The sequence below is a fragment of the Homo sapiens genome, chromosome 1, assembly GCF_000001405.40.
Source record: "Homo sapiens chromosome 1, GRCh38.p14 Primary Assembly".
NCBI lineage: Eukaryota > Metazoa > Chordata > Mammalia > Primates > Hominidae > Homo > Homo sapiens.
Genome location: NC_000001.11, coordinates 60,808,556 through 60,826,030, shown reverse-complemented (window position 1 = coordinate 60,826,030; position 17,475 = coordinate 60,808,556). Strand labels below are relative to the sequence as shown.

General features: G+C 39.0%; 1 long non-coding RNA gene across 1 annotated transcript in view; it reads left to right on the top strand.

Annotated features, from left to right (window-relative positions):
- The first annotated feature begins 446 nt into the window (after positions 1–446).
- The window catches only part of LOC101926964 (uncharacterized), a 165,954-nt gene continuing 148,925 nt past the window's right edge, over positions 447–17,475 (top strand). The window contains exon 1 of the long non-coding RNA NR_110628.1: positions 447–695. This is a non-coding gene — a long non-coding RNA (uncharacterized LOC101926964). The remainder of the gene's footprint in view (positions 696–17,475) is intronic.

The window sequence follows — 17,475 nt, the reverse complement described above, 5'->3', positions numbered from 1 at the left end:
ACCCATAAATATATACACCTACTGTGTACCCACATACAAAAATAAATTGGTTATCTTTATGTGTATTTTACTGCAATAAAAAGAAGTAGTAAGCTTCTTTTTGCAGCAATTATTCAAACTGAAACTGAAAAGCCACCTATTGGGGGTGCTGTTCAGGGCACTTGCACAGGGTGCTGAAGCTTGGACAAAATGACTTCAAAGGAAGTCAGTGAATGTGAGTGAGCAAGGCCTCTGCCTGTGGTGTCAGGCAGGCTGGGAGCCAGGGTCCTGCATCCTGGCTCTGTGACCCTGGGCGGGGCTTAACCCTCTCTGAGCCTCCTCTGTAATGCAAGGACAATAATTACAGGGTTGTTGGAAGATTTATAGTGGGATCACAATGCCTGACACATGGTAAGTGCTCTGTAAAGGCCAATCCCTCTTACAGTTTTCAGATTCTGTAATTCCTTAAAAGGACCTTCCTCATAATCAAAACTACATTTTCAAAATAATTAAGAAGTGTTTGGGAGCTGTGAGAAGATCCCAGAAATCAGGGAAAATCCTTTTTCTCCCATCTTGTTCCTAAGGAAACCCACTGCCACGAGATCTGTTTTCCAGGCCTTGAATGCTTTTATTCCTCATATCTGGGTTTTCTTCTCTTTTCTCCAGCCTCTGCCTCTGAATGTGAAGGGAAACTGGACCAGCTCAGTGTCAAGCCTGTGAGTAGAACACCCTCTTAGTTCTTTCACAGTTGGTTTCTGGAAAACATCTCTATGTCCAGATTACTTTGTGGGTCTCAGCCCTCCCAGTGTTTTGGCTTCATGGTTTCTGTAATACTTCATTTCATTATGATGTGACTGTAAATGGTCAGTCACCTTCACTTTCTCTAGCTAATTACACCCACAAGGATTTCCACAGGCCTGTGGCATTTTCAAAGAGCTCACACTCATGGATTTGCCAGAAATCTACAATGGAAATTTTAAATACAGGCATTCTTTGACTTCTGAATGCCTAATTTACAAAGGTCAAATATCTATGGAAGCTTGGCCCTTGCTAGGCACAGAGCTGGGGCAGCCTTCTCCTTCTGTGGGTCCTGGAAAGGGAGAAAGAGTTTTGATTGCCATCTGTCTTTCCTTCTTCCTGTGGGGTCAGTGGCTGAGGAATTAGTGAAGGGGATTGGGAGGCAGGGGAAGGATGTGTTTTTGAGAACCCTGCATCTTCACAGGCATTGCATGATGGCCATACATGATAGAACCTGGAGTTTGGGTATCAGGACTGGGTCAGAAATCTGGCTCTATCTTTAAACATTTATCTTTTATGACTGTGTTTCCCTGGAAAATTACGTAACTTCTCTAGGCTTCAGTTTCTTCATCTATGACATGGAAGATAAATATATTTATATTGAGGGATAATGGCAAAGATTAGATAAAATATGTATGACAGTACCAATAATAATGGACTTTTCTTTCTTTCTTTTTTTTTTGAGACAGTGCTTGCTCTGTCACCCAGGCTGGAGTGCGGTAGCATGATCTTGGCTCACTACAACCCTTGCCTTTTAGATTCAAGTGATTCTCGTGCCTCAGCTTCCCGAGTAGCTAGGACTATGGACTACCACCATGGCCGGCTAATTTTTGTATTTTTAGTAGAGATTGGGTTTCATCATATTGTCCAGGCTGGTCTCAAACTCTTGGCCTCAAGTGATTTGCTCACCACGGCCTCCCAAAGTGCTGGGATTAAAACCATGAGGCATCGTGCCCTGACAATAGCATTCTTTTATTGAGTACTCACTATGTGCCTGGAATTATTCTCTGTGTTTTAAGGTAATAACTTACTTACAACAACACTAAGGATCCTACTTTAATCCCTGTTATGTGGATGTGGGAGCCGAGGCCCACATAAGGGAAGGGCCTTGTCTCATGTTCAGAGCTGGGAAGTGTTTAGTGACAGGAGTCAAACCTAGGTAATCCAGTCCTAGTGCTCATAGTATGCTAAGCTATACTGCCTTCTCTTTTCTTCATACAAAAGCTAAATTCTCACTATTACATGGCTTTCAAAATAGTTGTTGACAGGAGAAAGAGAGGGAGTCGAGATGTAATTCTGATGTTGCTGAGATTTCTAGATATTGCCTCAATACTGATCTATGTCAACACCGTGACTGGCTTGGCTTTTGTGGGCCTTACTGGAGATCCAACTTTTGTTCATAAAATTCTTTTTATGGGAAAATGCCTTTGACATTCTAGAGAACAGATTCACATGGGATACTTTTCACTAGTATTTACAGTAGTACTAGTGGTATAGTAACAATTGTCTTTACTCTTAGTGAAGGACAATATACTTAACATCTTTTTTTTTCTTTTTTTTCCTTTGCTTTCTTAAAATGTTTAGTATGAGAGGCAGGGGGAATTGGAAAATTGGTTTTGTTTTTCTTTTCTAAAAGCAGAAAACAGTGTAATTAGTGGGAAATTTACTCATAATCTTGATCTTTAAAATCTTCTGCCCTTTCATTCCATTAAGATTGCCTTTTTTTTTTTTTAAAGAAGGAAGAAAAGAGGCATAAATAGCCAGGCTACTAAATTCTCTTTAATGACTAAAGCTAATAAGAAATGGTTCTGGTATTTCATCCAGCCTCTCAAATAATGGCTCTGTTGTTTTGATCTCAGAAGTGTAAGGGAAGCTTTATATTCAGGGATGGGCGTCCCTGTCTCAGGCACCTGAGAGACTGCATTATATATTTGAAAACCATTTTACAATGTCCCTTCCCAGAGTGTGAGGCCATTGATGCTTTGATGTGGTTAAGTAATTTAGCACAATCATGTAATAGATTAAATTAGATTTCAGCTTCCTTGAAAGTTTTGAAGAGTACACATGAAATGAGTGTATATCCACAATCTTGGAGCACTGGGAGCATTTTCCATTTTTTATTTTTTATTTTTCTACAGGCTTCCTTCCCTTAATCTTGAATAGAAGCAGAGGAGAAATTGCTGAATTTCATTCTGTAGTATCCCTGCTTGAGTGGGAGAAAAGAAATGCATGTAGGGAAGAAAAGAGGGAGATATTTTCTAAGATAGAGTGGAAGAAGCTTTTTCATTTTCCATAAAATAAGTATTATGTGGTGGTGGGAGGGAACAGAGGCAAGAACAAAGACTTCAGAAGGATTTGTAGAGGCAGACATGAGTTTTAGTCTTGAGTCTACAGTTTTTTTTTTTGTTGTATTATTTCATTTCCCCGAGCCTGTTCCTAATTCTGTAAAATTGAAGTCATAATATTAAAGTTGAAAATGAGATGATGTAGATAAAGTGGTGGACATAATGCCGGTCAGAGTCAACACTTAATACATGGTTGTTTGCTTTCCTCTGATTTCAATTTAGTCAGTTACATATTGAATATTTATTAATAAATCATATCAATATGTATTGAATATTTATTTTGAAACACACACTTGAGTGCTGTATAAGTTTGACTAGACACATCAAACTATGCACCTGATATTTTCAGGGAATTAGAGTAGCCCAAACTTAAAATATTCCCAAATGAACTCATGGTCCCCACTTTTGCTAGTATTGCTTAGCTCAGCAAATGGTACTATCTTCACCTGACTGCTTCACCTTCTTTTCCTAAGAAAACTAGGTATCACCCATGAGTCACTCCCTGTTCCTCACCCCTTATAACCAATTCGTCATCATATACTGTCAGTTTCTTCCAAAATATTCTCAGATCCATTAATTTCAGAGCAATGTCTCCAATTTCACTCTTAGTAGCTGCATCCAAGCAATCTTTATCTCTTTCCTGAGTCATAGCAATAGCCTTATACTTCTTCTTCCTGCATATATTCTCATCTTTCTCCACCTATTCTTTAAAGAGAGAGCTTTCATAAATGTAAATCTTACCATGTTACTCCTCTGCTCAAAAGCTTTTACTACTTTTTTATTGCTTTAATGAAAAAGACAAAATCTGTTTTGTTAATCACTGTGTACTAGGCACCTAATATTAATGCATTGCATATATATCAATTCGATAAATATTTGTTAAATAAGTGATCCCTTTTTTCAGCATCCATCTGGCTGCTTTTAATGGCAAAACCCACAATTACCTTTTCACCAACCTGATAGAGTCATCTCATCCACTGCTACTCGATATGCTATGTTTTTCACATATATAAACCTGCAAGGACGATAGTATAATTTCTGCTTTAAGTCTTCACATATAAAACAATTAAGAGGAAAAACAATCTTTGATATTTACCCAGGCATTTAGTACTTCCAATGATCTTCATTCCTTCCTGAAGATCTGAGTTTTCATGTTATTGATAGCCCTCAGTCTAAAAAGCTTTTTGAGAATTTCTTTTAAAATGACAAATTATCTTAGTTTTCTATCTAAAAATGTCTTTATTCTGCCCTCATTCTTGAAGGATATTCTTGCTAGGTTAGGATTCTGGGTTGGCATTTATTTTTTTTCAGCACTTTAAAGACACTGATACACTCTCTACTGGCTTCCATTATTTCTAGTGAGAAGTTAGCAAACATCTGAATCATTTTTGCTTATATGCTATGTGTCCTTTTTCTCTAGCTGCTTTCAAGATTGTCTTGCCTTTGGTTATTAGTAGTTTAACTATGATATGCTTAGGTGAGATTTTCTTCATATTTATTCTGCTTTGAGTTGATTGAGCTCTTGAATCTGTAAATTTATGTCTTTCAGGAAATCTGGAGAAATTTCAGTCATTATTTTCTCACGTCTTTTTCTGTGTGGGTTGTCTTCTCTTGCAACTCTAATTACATGTATGTTAGATAATTTGATATTTGTCTATAGGTTTTTAGGATTTGTTTGCTTCTCTTTTTTGTCTTCTTCAGATTGGATATTTTCTGTTTATCTTCAAGTTGGCAGACTCTACTATATTCTCCACTCTGCTATTATGTCCATACTGTAAATTTTTAAATTTCAGATATTGTGTTTTCAGTTCTATGATTTCCTTTTTTTTAACAGTTTTTATTAATTTTCTATTTTTATTTATTATGAGCATATTTTTCCTTATATGATTGGGCACAAATTATGATAGCTTTTTAAAATAATTGCTTTCTAATTCCAACTTCTGGGTCAGCTTGGGGTTGGTCTCTGTTGATTATGTTGTATCTTGAGAATAGATCACATTTTCCTGTTTCTTTGTATGTAGAATAATTTTGGAGTATATCTTGGACATTCTCACTGTTGTATTGTGCAGACTCTATTCTATATATTCTTCTTAAGGTGTTAAATTTTTGTTCTGAGAGAATGTTAACTTAATTGGGTTCAAATTGAAAAATGTGTCCCTTTGGAATCTATGCAAATTTTAGTTCAGTTCTATTATTCTTATTTTAGCTGTTAGTAGCTTGCCACAAGTGTGCATAATTCAGAAGTCAGCCAGACTTGGATGGAGTTTATATACAGAATTTGGGGCTTCCCACACTTGTTTTCTCCTTTTTGAGACCTCCCCCACTGACTTTACAGCAGTTATGGTTACAGTGAACTCTGTTCTCTAATTTTTCAGGACAGAAAGATGCTAGGTTTTCTTTTGGGATTTCTATCAGAGTTTTAGCTATGTAGTGGTGCCAACTGTGGCCTGCCCTCAGGGTCGATCTATTTTAAAAGTGATACTTATTATGCTGTTTCCTTCTCTATAGAACTTTTTTCTTTTGCTCACTCTCTGGTAACATGAGGTAGTTGTTTCTTCATATATTGTCTAAAGTATATAGTTATATGCAGAAGGCTTGGTGCAGTTGGAGCTTCTTCATCCATAAGAGAAAAAGAACCCTATATGGCAAATTTTGAACTACTCAAATTTGTGGGCAACACCAATCATCACCATATATTTAAAAAATTGTTGTGGTGTATACATCCGTGTTATCAGTGAAGTATAAAAAAACTGTTGTGGTGTATACATCCATGTTATCAGTGAAGTATGTATAATTCATATTTGAATTGTTGTGTATGCATGTCAAAGCTTTGTGTTAGACCATTTAGAAAAAAATGCATATATTCATTATTATATACTGCATGGTAAACCAAACAACCCACAATAGATTAAATTGATGTTGCTGTTAAATTAACAATAAATGATAATTACAAAATGAGATTGGCAGAAATAAAACCATGATCAACCCAACACAATGCTAGGAATTCAATGATGACAAAATTTCCTTTGTGTATCTGTAAATTTCAGTAATTATGAATTAACTGAGCTACAGTAGGGTGTAACATAGGCAAACATTTTGAGGAAATCAGCCTTCTTAGTAGAAAATGGAATTCATATCTTTGGGAGACTCTAGTGATATGCTGATTTTAATTTATGAATATTAGCATTTAAAACCTTTAACATCTTAGTAGATAACTTACTAGTAAGCTGGAGATACGTCAAATTTTCACCCTTAAGAACTACAGAAAAGACATGCACTTAAGGACTTTTTATAGGAATTAGTCGTTGGCCACTCATCTCTATCTTGAGAAACTCTAGGCACAGAGGTATTTGCTCATTTTGGCACATTTTCCTTGCTCTTGGCTATGGAGATGAGCTAGGTCAAGGGGCCACTTTCACTGCACAGGCCTGAGAAGAACTGAGGTGGGTGGGGTCAGGCAAACTATGTTCTAGACAATAAAGCCAAATCTCTTTTGCTTTGGCTTTCATCTTAAGCTTAATTCTTATTGAATGCTCTCTGTAAGTCTTTCATTGACTTTGGAAAGAACCGAGAGTTGAATGTTAACTTGCAGTAAAAGCAGGCAAAGTAGGACAAAAATTGACAAAGAAGAGAAACTTCATATTGGCTCTGGAGTCAATTGCATATTTAAATATTTTAATACAACCTCACCACGTGGTCATGTGAAATTAACAAGTTACCTCACTTTGCATAGCCTCATTTTCTCATCTACAACAGAGGAACAGTTCTAGGAGGAGCCATCTAAAGATTTACTTGTAGAATTGAATAATATAATGCATGTAAGGCATGGTTCCACTAGGCTATGAAGACAAAGGCCACTTTAGTCTTGCTCACTGTCATCCAGGTCTGTTTGGCACAGTGTGTGGCACATGGTAGGTGTTCAATAAGTATTTGATAATTAAGTCAGTGAATAAAGAGTACAGTGCCTGAAACATAAAATTCATAATAAATGGAGGTTCCTTCCTTCTCCAACCAAATGGTGATGTAGTAGGAGGGATAGGGTTTGGGCAGAACCCAGTAGGACTCACTTGTCAGATGTGAGAAGAATCTGGCTATCATTCAAAATTCAGGACAGGAAGCAGCTGGCAATTGGCATCAGGAGTGAAGAAGACAGATCGAGACCTATGAGGCTGGCCCCAGGCAAATTTGTGATAAATTTTAATCATTATTATTTTTATAGCACCTTGCATGGGTCTATTTTATATCTTTCAAAGCACTTTTTATGGCTATGATTTTGCTTGTTTCTTAGGAAACCTCTGAAAGGAAAGCTGCTGGCTGTTACATGAACACATGTGTTGGTGTTATGTGTGCATGTGCACAAAATTTATTTTTATTTGGCAGAAAATCCTATAAATTATGTATAGGTTTGAAGTTAGAGAATCTAGAGTTGTTTTGGCTCTAATGACGTTGACCACCTCACTTGAAGTTTAGGAGAATCACTTTCCCTATCCTGAATCTTAGTTATTACTACTGAGTATAAAATCTTGGAAATGAAGCATAACTGCTCTGTGCCTCTGTTTATTTATCTGCAAAATGTACATAGAAATATATACTGTCCAGTATATATTTCATAAAGTTGCTTATTCACATAGCACATATTTATTTTGTCCACTGTCTATCAGTCCATGTTATAGGAGCTTGGGACACACGAGTGAACAAATGAGATGGAGATTGTTGTAAGGTAGAAAGGAGTGAATACATGCAAAACACTTATATCAATCAGTGCTTGTCATAATAGAGCAATCAATGGAGGTATTATCTTGAAAATGAACAAATTGGCCGGGCGTGGTGGCTCACGCCTGTAATTCCAGCACCTTGGGAGGCCGAGGTGGGGGAATCACGAGGTCAGGAGATCGAGACCATCCTGGCTAACACGGTGAAACATCGTCTCAACTAAAAATACAAAAAATTAGCCGGGCCTGGTGGCAGGTGCCTGTAGTCCCAGCTACTCGGGAGGCTGAGGCAGGAGAATGGTGTGAACCTGGGAGGCAGAGCTTGCAGTGAGCCAAGATCGTGCCACTGCACTCCAGGCTGGGCGACAGAGTGAGACTCTGTCTCAAAAAAAAAAAAAAAAAGAACAAATAATATTTTCCATGGTCTAGATAAGCCTGTATTTTAACATGTGTAAAGGGAGCTATTACAATTCAGAAAAACTATTTTGTTTTCACAAATCCTGGCTTTTAAAACTATTTACTTAGATTTGCTAAGGACTCAAGAGAGTCAGCTTTGAGTTGACAAAAGATTGATTTGTTGTAGTTTGTGCTTTCTTTCCTGGGTTGATTTTTCTTACTTAGCATGAATGGTAGGAGACTGTTAGAGTATGTGATTTTCAAGGCAAAGAGATTTGCAGGGGAATGGAAAATATGCTGATTTAATATCATCTCTATTATGTAAAACACATAGTAAATGCTCAAGAACTGATTATTGACAATTATTTCTTTTAAGAATTTGTAAAAATAATATAACAAAGAAGTTTAGGACAAACAAATGACTTGGCAGTGGCAGGACCCTTTGGCAATGCAGCTTATTGTAGGTGGAGATTATTGAGGGTAGTGAATATTCGTAGAAAACCATAAAACATATACTATGAAAGCCAATAGTCTAAATAAAATCAAGCTATCTTTGGGAATGGTCATTTTTCTCAATTAAGAATCCAGTGGATTAACTAGGAGTGTGTTGGAGAGATAGAAATTTCACGTATTTGGTGATATCCTTCAGCAAATGGATTTACCCTCTTATTTCTCAAGGCATTCCTGCAAAGCAGAGTTGAAGTCAATGTTTAGACTTCTGGTTCAATACAAATAAGAAGTTTCTGAACAATGTAATATCCAAATGCAGAAAAAAGCTTTTGATTGTTTTCTACAACAATGGGAATTAAGGGGTGTAACCTAAAATGCAGTGATGATGAATTTCAGTGTGTTTGTGGAATACACAGCTGGTTATCTGCACAGCAGATGCCTTGTGATCTGTGCATTCTATTGGAATGCCATCAAATGGTCTAAATGCCCCATCTTACCTAAAGGACTAGAGTTGATCTGGTTGGTAGGCCTGGTATTACAGGGAATTTCTCACACAAAGTTGGACAACTTGGCAGCTTGGTGCATGTAGACGAGATTTGAGCAGGAAGTTGAGTAGAATAAGTAAAAGAAGTCTCTTTATACATATATACTTGGGAAATTGAATATGGTTCCAAGATTGGGAGAACTGTAGAGATCAATGAAGATCAGCAGGATGAAAATATGTGAAGGGTAGTAATAGACATTTTGGTGAAACACACATTATAGTTTTGTTTGCCTTTATGTCAACTTGGTATATTAACTTGGTACCTGGGAAGGCGGGCTGCAATTACTGATCTAGGTGTGAAACGGACACAATTGCTGTTATGCTTATTTAAAAATTGCCCATTCAGTTATTCCTCATCATCTCTAAAAACCAAGTTGGAATCTGTGAGCCCCATGGTGCCTCTTTTTTATCTTCCTCCACAATGAAATGAGTGTTTGCATGAGATGTTCTTGCATAAGAACTTTGTTATCACCTGTGCAGTGTGTGTGTGTGAGTGTGTGTGTGTGTGTGTGTGAGTGTGTGTGTGTGTGTGCATGTGTTTTGAACAAACAAACAAAAAAGTGAAGACTGGCCCTAAATCCTAGCTGACTATGGAAAGTAAAGTCATTATGAACACCTGTGAGTAATGACTTATTCATGAAAGTCTCTATTAGAATACTTAATTGTAAAATCTTTCCATTCTTGTAGAGAAGTAATGTCCAGTGCAGAATGGTTTTGGGTGATTTAGTTCAAATTAGCCATTGAAATCACAATGGGTGGGACCATACTACTGTGAGACAAAGCAGTGGTTTCCAAACCTGGCTAAGCATCAGAATTGCCAGTGAACTTATTAAAATACATACACTAGACCCCACTCACTAAATTAGTGTCTCTTGGGGTAAGGGACTTCTGAACTTTTTGTTTGAATTTTCATCATATTTGATTCTGAAGCACAGAATGGTTTAGGAGTTATTGAGATAGTACATTGAAGCCATTTCTCTCTATTAGGATTTTTCCAAGTGTGGTCTGTAGTCCAGTTGTGTCTGAGTCTTGTAGTGGAAGTGTGAGAGTGGAAAGTGAGGAAGAAGTGCAGATTAAAATACAGATTCCTGGGCTTCACTTTAATCCTGCTGAAGCTGCATTGCTAACAAGTGCCTCAGATGATTCTTACATCAAAAGAGTTTGAGAATTATTATTGTGTATTCTCCTATGAATGGACTGTGGATGGAGGAGATTTGAGCTAGTTGAATTGACCCTAAATAATGGGAAATATTTCATCCAGAGAAATGAGGAAGAGAGCTGGCTATCCTGGAAACCTATTCAATCCTAGGCAAGGAAATTTATCAACATAATCTAATTCTTTACTTAATAACCATGTTATGAAGTAGGTAGTAAGTTACTCATTGCAGAGGGCCTTATTTAAGGTCCCAGAGTTAGAAGAAATGGAAGCAAGATAAAAATTTGGGTCTAATTGACACCAAAGCTTTAAACCTGTCTACACTCTACCAAATTACCAGCAAATCTATATTAACCTGTGTATAAATCAGGAGAACTAAACTTTAATCCCCACTCTGAGTGTGTCTCTTTCTGTGGTGTTAGCTATGTCCTTTGTCCTCAGTTTCCTCACTCTTCAGAGCATAAGTGTTATATAAGAATATGGCTCTATTGCCTATAGTGATATTTCTTCTTAAATATTGAATGAAAGACAAAGGACCACGGAAAGAGTGTTCTTGGGAACTGACCCTGGCATCTGAAGGTCACAGTATTCTTCTCTCTTCTGAGTAATTGTCTGAAGCCAATTTTGAAGTGTTTAAAAAAGAATTCTATTTTCCTCATTTGTGCAGGTAGCCTGAGACAAAAATTCAGTGCATTGAAGATGTATTGGGACTATGTATTTATTTTTATAACTTAGAATGCTCCCAGTCACCTGCCCTCAAAGTGAGGCTATATATATTAACACCAACACAATCTCAAGAGACTATTCAGCAAAACTAGGAAAATAAAAAATGGTCTCACATTTGCCATGGCTATTTGCACTCTACATTCCTGGATAAATAATGTCCAACCCCTGGGAACCTCTGTGTACCAGTAAAGGTTAAGGGCCTTTTTGTTTTTCAGAATGCCTGCTCTATTTATAATAGAGGCTGCGCCATCCTAGAACTAAAAGCCTGTGAGAAACATTAGCAGTGGCATCCAGGCAGGCAGGAGTTTTTCTGACAGCCCCTTAAGTCATCCCTACAAATGCCCACACGATCCTCAAAGGTCAGCAGGGGACTGAAGTTGTGACTTTGGATGCATATTGCATGCTCTTCAATCTGACTAGACTTTTCTGAATGATATCTTCAGGTCCCCCATCATTGCTCAGTTATAAGGCCCTTCCAGACTTAGCACTTGTACCCCAGGTCTTCTTCAGGTCCTTGGCTTAACTCTTTCATCTCCTTGCATCCCAATTTGCTTATGACTGGCCCCGTGGGACACTGTCCATGGCCAGTGTTTGGCACTCAACACTCAGTTGGTGACTGGCTTTGTTAGTCCCCCCACCATTCCACAGCTTCCTGATAAGATAGGCAAGGGCCTTAATGAAGATGACAGTGACCGTATGTGGGTTTGCCAGAAATACTGCTTGTTTATTTCCTTCTCCCTGTTAATAATGTTCCCTTTCACTTTCAAATTGTTCTGGTTTAAGTGATTAAATTATATTGTCACTCCATATAGAATGTTCTTTGTCTCATAGAAATGGTCCTGTAGTATCACACTACCCCTAGTGTCCAAAAGATACAGAATTTCACAACAAAATCTTTCTTTGATTAATTTTCATGGATTGTGGAGCTTTTAAAAACATAACTGTTTCTAGCACTGTCCCTGGTGCACTGCAAGCCTAAATAAATGGAAGTTAACCATATTAGTAAATCTGGTCACTCGAAATGTTGCCAGGGTTAATGTGAATAGGTAACCCACAGCCAGTTAGCCCAGCACAGCTTCTGTAAATGGTCCTGCTCACTCCCTATAAGCACATGCCAAGCTCTGTGTTAAAGGAGGTTCCAGTACATACTTTCCATTTTCAAACTAAGTCTGAAACTTCTTTGACCAGTTTCTACTTTCTACCTTCTATTGCATGATGCTTTACTCACCAATTCTGTAATTCATTTTTAGATAAAGAGAAGTGTTAAAATGACAGAAGATGCTATGACAGAAGAGAAAGAACTGAGAGATCTGGATGTAATAAATGTTTAGTAGCTGAAGCAATCCGAAGTAAAGGAGGAGAGATAGCACATGAAAAGAATATCTGGTGGAATTTTACATGTGATGATAATTCTTTCAAAAAGAAGGGGGATTCAGGGTGAAGGGAATGGGAAAGATTGGGGGAGAGGTGTAAAAGTCCTTTTTTGTTGTCATTTGTTTTGAAATGTTTTGGTTCCAGTGAAGGCTCTGTTTCAGATGCTACAGGAAAAGTACTCTCCCGTCTTGGGCCCAAAGGAAGTGTGTACTCCCCCAGGCTGCCAGATTCCAGGTCTTGGAATGAATGGTGAGTCTTGGAGTAATCACATGTCCTCTGCTAGGAATGCATTCCTAGAGATTTGTGGTCTCCCCATCTGGGCTGCAGGTGATGGATTAGATCAGGGAGGAGGAAAAGGCCTGAGAGGGGATTCATGACCCTGGGCTCAGCAGGGGATCTAGCTGGATTAACACGAAGGCTTCAGTCATGGCCGGGCAGAGAAGCTTGCAACTCTCAAGTGTGGCATGCTTGGCTCCAGTGCTGGGAGCAGGCGGTGGCAGTCTAAATGACAGTGGAGGAACATTGGTGTCTGGAAACAAAGTAGATCAGAAAACTTCCTAAGCAGCAGAGGTCACAGGAGCCATGCACAAATACATAGGCAAGCACAAGGATGAAGGACCAGGAGTTGATCATAAAGAGACATCTTTTGGCATGGAATTAGCTGTGAATTACTTGGAGAAAGATCAGAGTCTGTGACCCTTGAAATATGTGAAGTGCCTTGGAAATGAAGGTCCAAGTTTCTAAACAAAGTAGTATGTTCTCTATCCTAACTCAGAAATGGCTTATTTAGAGAAGGCTGCACTTAAAAAGATTGGGTTCGAGTTCTAGGTTTAACCTTAACTTCTTAAATGTATTTGGACCTGCTCCATTTAGGCTCAATGTCTTCAGTTAAAAAAGTTGAACTCTGTGTCTGTGCTGTCTAATATGGTAGACACTTACAACTATTGAAATGTAATTAAATGAACAAAAATTCAGTTCCTCAGTCACACTAGTCACATGTCCAGTGGTCAATAGCTACATGTGGTTACTGGCTACCACATTGGACAGATATAGAACATTTCCATCATCATAGAAAGTTCTTTTGAGCAATGCTGCCTAGATTATCTCTGAGTTCATGTGGGAATCATGAAGCAAATTACCATGTATCAGGGATGAAACTAGAAGCCATTTCTGCCCACCTTAAGATCTCTCTGTGGCAATCTTTGCAATGAAGCTCCTGTTTGAGCTGGTGGAAACTTTCTTCAGCTGAACCATAGTCTGAGACTTTTCTACTCAATCCTCCTGCCTCCCTATCTTCTTTCACAAGTAGATCTGCATTGTAACATAAAGACTTGCCCTGCCTACTGTTTCTCCCTCTCCTTTCCCTCATACAGGCATTGTCCTCAATAAATCTCTTACACTTCCAACTCCAAATTGGCCTATGGTTTTTGGAGGACCTGAATGAACACAGGAAGAAACGTTCTTCACGACAGACAACTAGGATCACCAGAGAATATGACCATAAGTCATGGTTTGAGCAGGCAGTCAGGCCTGTATGATTTGTGAGCCCTCCATGGCTTTCTTCCCAGCCGTGCACTTCCTAGAGATGCCCTGTTAGTGATTTCTTGCCTCTCAGTTTTCTAGCCTCTGCCTTCTGGTTCCCCTAACTTTGTCCTGCCTACTCTCTTGGAGCAGAGTCTATAGTCCCGAGCTCATATTTGATTTCTAACCCCTGTCTTGAGCTTGATAATTTTGGCCATACTTTTTTCAAGGCCTATCTTTGCCCAGGTTAGAGACCTTGATTCTCCTTTCCTCTGTACTTTATGATCATGACCATTGGTTCATTTCTAGCCTTGGGTTTTGGAATCCCAGCTTGGGCAAATCAGTAGCCACCTTCTTGTCCAGAAGGGAAGGTGGGCAAGACTGCAAATGAAGCACTATGTAAGAAAGTGAGATATTCCAACAGGTGGATGGGAATCAGATATGCCATGCCTGAGGATCCAGTTCACTTGCAGAAGCATACCCAGAAAGGTGCAGGCCAGTCAACAGGATTTCTTAAGAGTCCTCTTAGTTTTTGGAGTAGAGGCTAGGAAAACAGGAAAGGCTCCTTAGAAGGCAATGGTGGTATATATCATACCATTCATTCACTTAAAAAACAACATTTAATGTGTGCTTGTATCATGCTAGGTCCTGTGCTAGCTGGAGATGGAAATATGAATTACCAGAGTCACTGCCTGGTGTTCATGGTCTAGACTTTATACCTGAAACAGGAGCTCAGGAACCACATCAGAGGCAGAAAACCAGGAATGAAACTGTTAAACAAAAAATTCTAGTTAAACTATCAGCAAGAGGGAATTGATCCTGTGGCAGTGTAGGTGAAAATTTAAAAAACAAAAGGGGCGGGGAAATTGAGATTGAGAACTAGGAGGTGGTTACTCTAACTCTCCTACTTAAGACAGCTTTGGAGTTTGGACTCAAGCAGCTGTTGCTGGGAGGAGAGAAGAGAAGCAGAAGCTGAGATCCAGGGAGCATCTACCACTACCCTCCCTGATAGATACTTTGCAGATTTCAGGCTGCCACAACCCCTGAATGACACACAAACTATTTGTGGGCTCATAGAGGAGCTCAACTGGGCTTCTGATTATAATTCATCATTCCATAACAGCTAGCATTTGGAGATTTCTGCTGTTTGTAATATTTGTCAGTTAATTTGCAGAAATACAGAGGGTTCATCCAGTTAAATAACTTGTACTATAGACAGGAGTAAAAGAACTCAGATATTGCTGCATGTAATGGAAACCCAAGATATTTGAGGTAAATGTAAGATAGAGGTTCAGTTCTCTGTTATATAAATGTCCTTGTGTTTATGGCGGCTCTGTTTGAATTCATGAAAGAAGGATCCAGGCTTCTTTTCTTGTCCTGCAATTTCTCAGTGCTGTTGTCAACCACATGGTCCAAGATTCTTCACTACCGTGCCTGGATTCCATCTACAAAGAAAGTGGGAAGGGGAGGTGATGAGCATGCCTTTTCCTCAGTGGTAGAGCTTGGTTGTTACATACACATGATCAGCTATGCTCAGATTTCACTGGCCGTGATTTACTTTCAGGGTTCCTGGAAGAGGTCACATGTCAAGGCAAAGACAATGAATACTAGGAGGTAATTGTCTTCAGCCATGGGCCTGTGTGCACTCTTAATTTACAGAGTGTTGCCCACTTCCAGCACTGGCCCTGAGGAGGGGATGCTAAACCTTCATTGCCACCACTATCCCTCAGACTTACCTCTATCAAGAGATTTTTCACCCTGGGTTGAAACTCTGGGTTTATTTGCATCTGTGAGCCTCTTGGCAAGCAGAAGCTATTGCACCAAGTCTGGCACAAAGTAGATGCTCAAAACACAGGATATCTGGCTCAGTAAATGGCTAGTGAATGAAAGAAATCCTTTAGAAATAAAACGTTACAAAATCTCTGCATGTAAAAGAGACATTCCCCTAAACACCCCCTCTCCTGCCCCTTTTTACCTGCTAGGACAGGCTGGGCTCATACGTTCTTTTTTGCAATTGTTAGGGATGATTAAAAATAATTTATTTACATTATGTACGATTGACTGAAGGAATGACTAAATAGGTGTGGAAGTCAGAGATTTGGCATTCTTAGATACCAAGGTCACTGTGAATTTCGTCCTCAGGCCTCTCTGAGGCAGTGACTTCACTCCACTTCTCTGTGGGCAGAAACTGGGTAGCCTTTCTGACTTGGTTATGCCAAGCAGAAGTAACATCCTTTCCCACCCCCTGCCACATCAAAGGGGTCCTGGGGGCAAGGAGGAGTGTTATTGTGGCTTTTCACTTCAGGAAGCAAACATAATGATTCTATTCATGGCATTAACTGCAAAAAACTATCATTAAGTCGTTGAGTGTCTTATAATCACGGGGAAGGGAACTAATCCTTTGGAGCTCCAAATATGCCAGGCACTTTGCGACCTGCGTCTCTTTTAATCTTCTCAATAGTCGATGAGAAAGGTAATTTGAGTCGCCATTTTACAGATGGGAATCATGTCAGAGAGATAAAATAATGTGCTCAAAGTGATGCTGCTACTGAGGTCAAGACTGGGATCTGCCTGCCTGAAAGCCTGCATGCTTACCATGATGTCAAGTGGCTGTTGCTTACATTCCCAGTGGATTCTGTAATGCATAGCTTTCATAACACTAACTCTCTTGGCCTTGACAATTAGCCTATGAGGTGTGGGAGGCAGGAGTTTTCATCCCCATTTTGCAGATAATCAGAGGTTCACAGAGATTAATTGACTTGCTACATATCACACTGCTGTTAAATGACAGCCAGAACCAGATCTGCAAGTCTAGGGTTCTTTTGTCCTATCCATGCCCACCTTATGTAGAGGTTATTAGTTGACAGGAACAAAGAAAAGAAGTTGATTTCTTAAAGACATCAAACATTTTCATAATGGAATGTAGGTAAGATTACCAGCTATTCTGATTTTCCTAGACTTTCCTGGGTTAGTACTGAAAGTCCTGTGTCCTGGGGTTACCCTCAACTAGGGGAAAACTAGACCATTGTTTCACCTAGTCAGGTAAATTTCTTGAATCTCGTAGAAATCAATAATTTTCCTTGATGATGTCATGTCAACAAAACAGCATCATAATGACATTAGGTTAACACTATTCTGAATAATAATGTGATCATTGTTGGCCCAATTTTGTTTATTAAAAGCAGTTAATTTCAGTGGGGAATTCCAGTATCTCAGAGTCACCCTTGGCTCAGCTTTATCTTGTGATTGTGCTTTTATTACATCAGTCCTTGTCTTAGAGCCAAGGTCACCTTGCCCCACCTGTGGATTTAGCCATCAGTGGTTCTCAAAGTTCATTGTCCATAGAATTATGTGAAGAGCTTATTAAACCACTCATTGCCCAAACCCCAGAAATTGTGATTCATTATATCTGGGGCAGCGCCATGAACTTGTACCTCTAACAAGATCCCACATGATGCTGATGCTGCTGGTTTG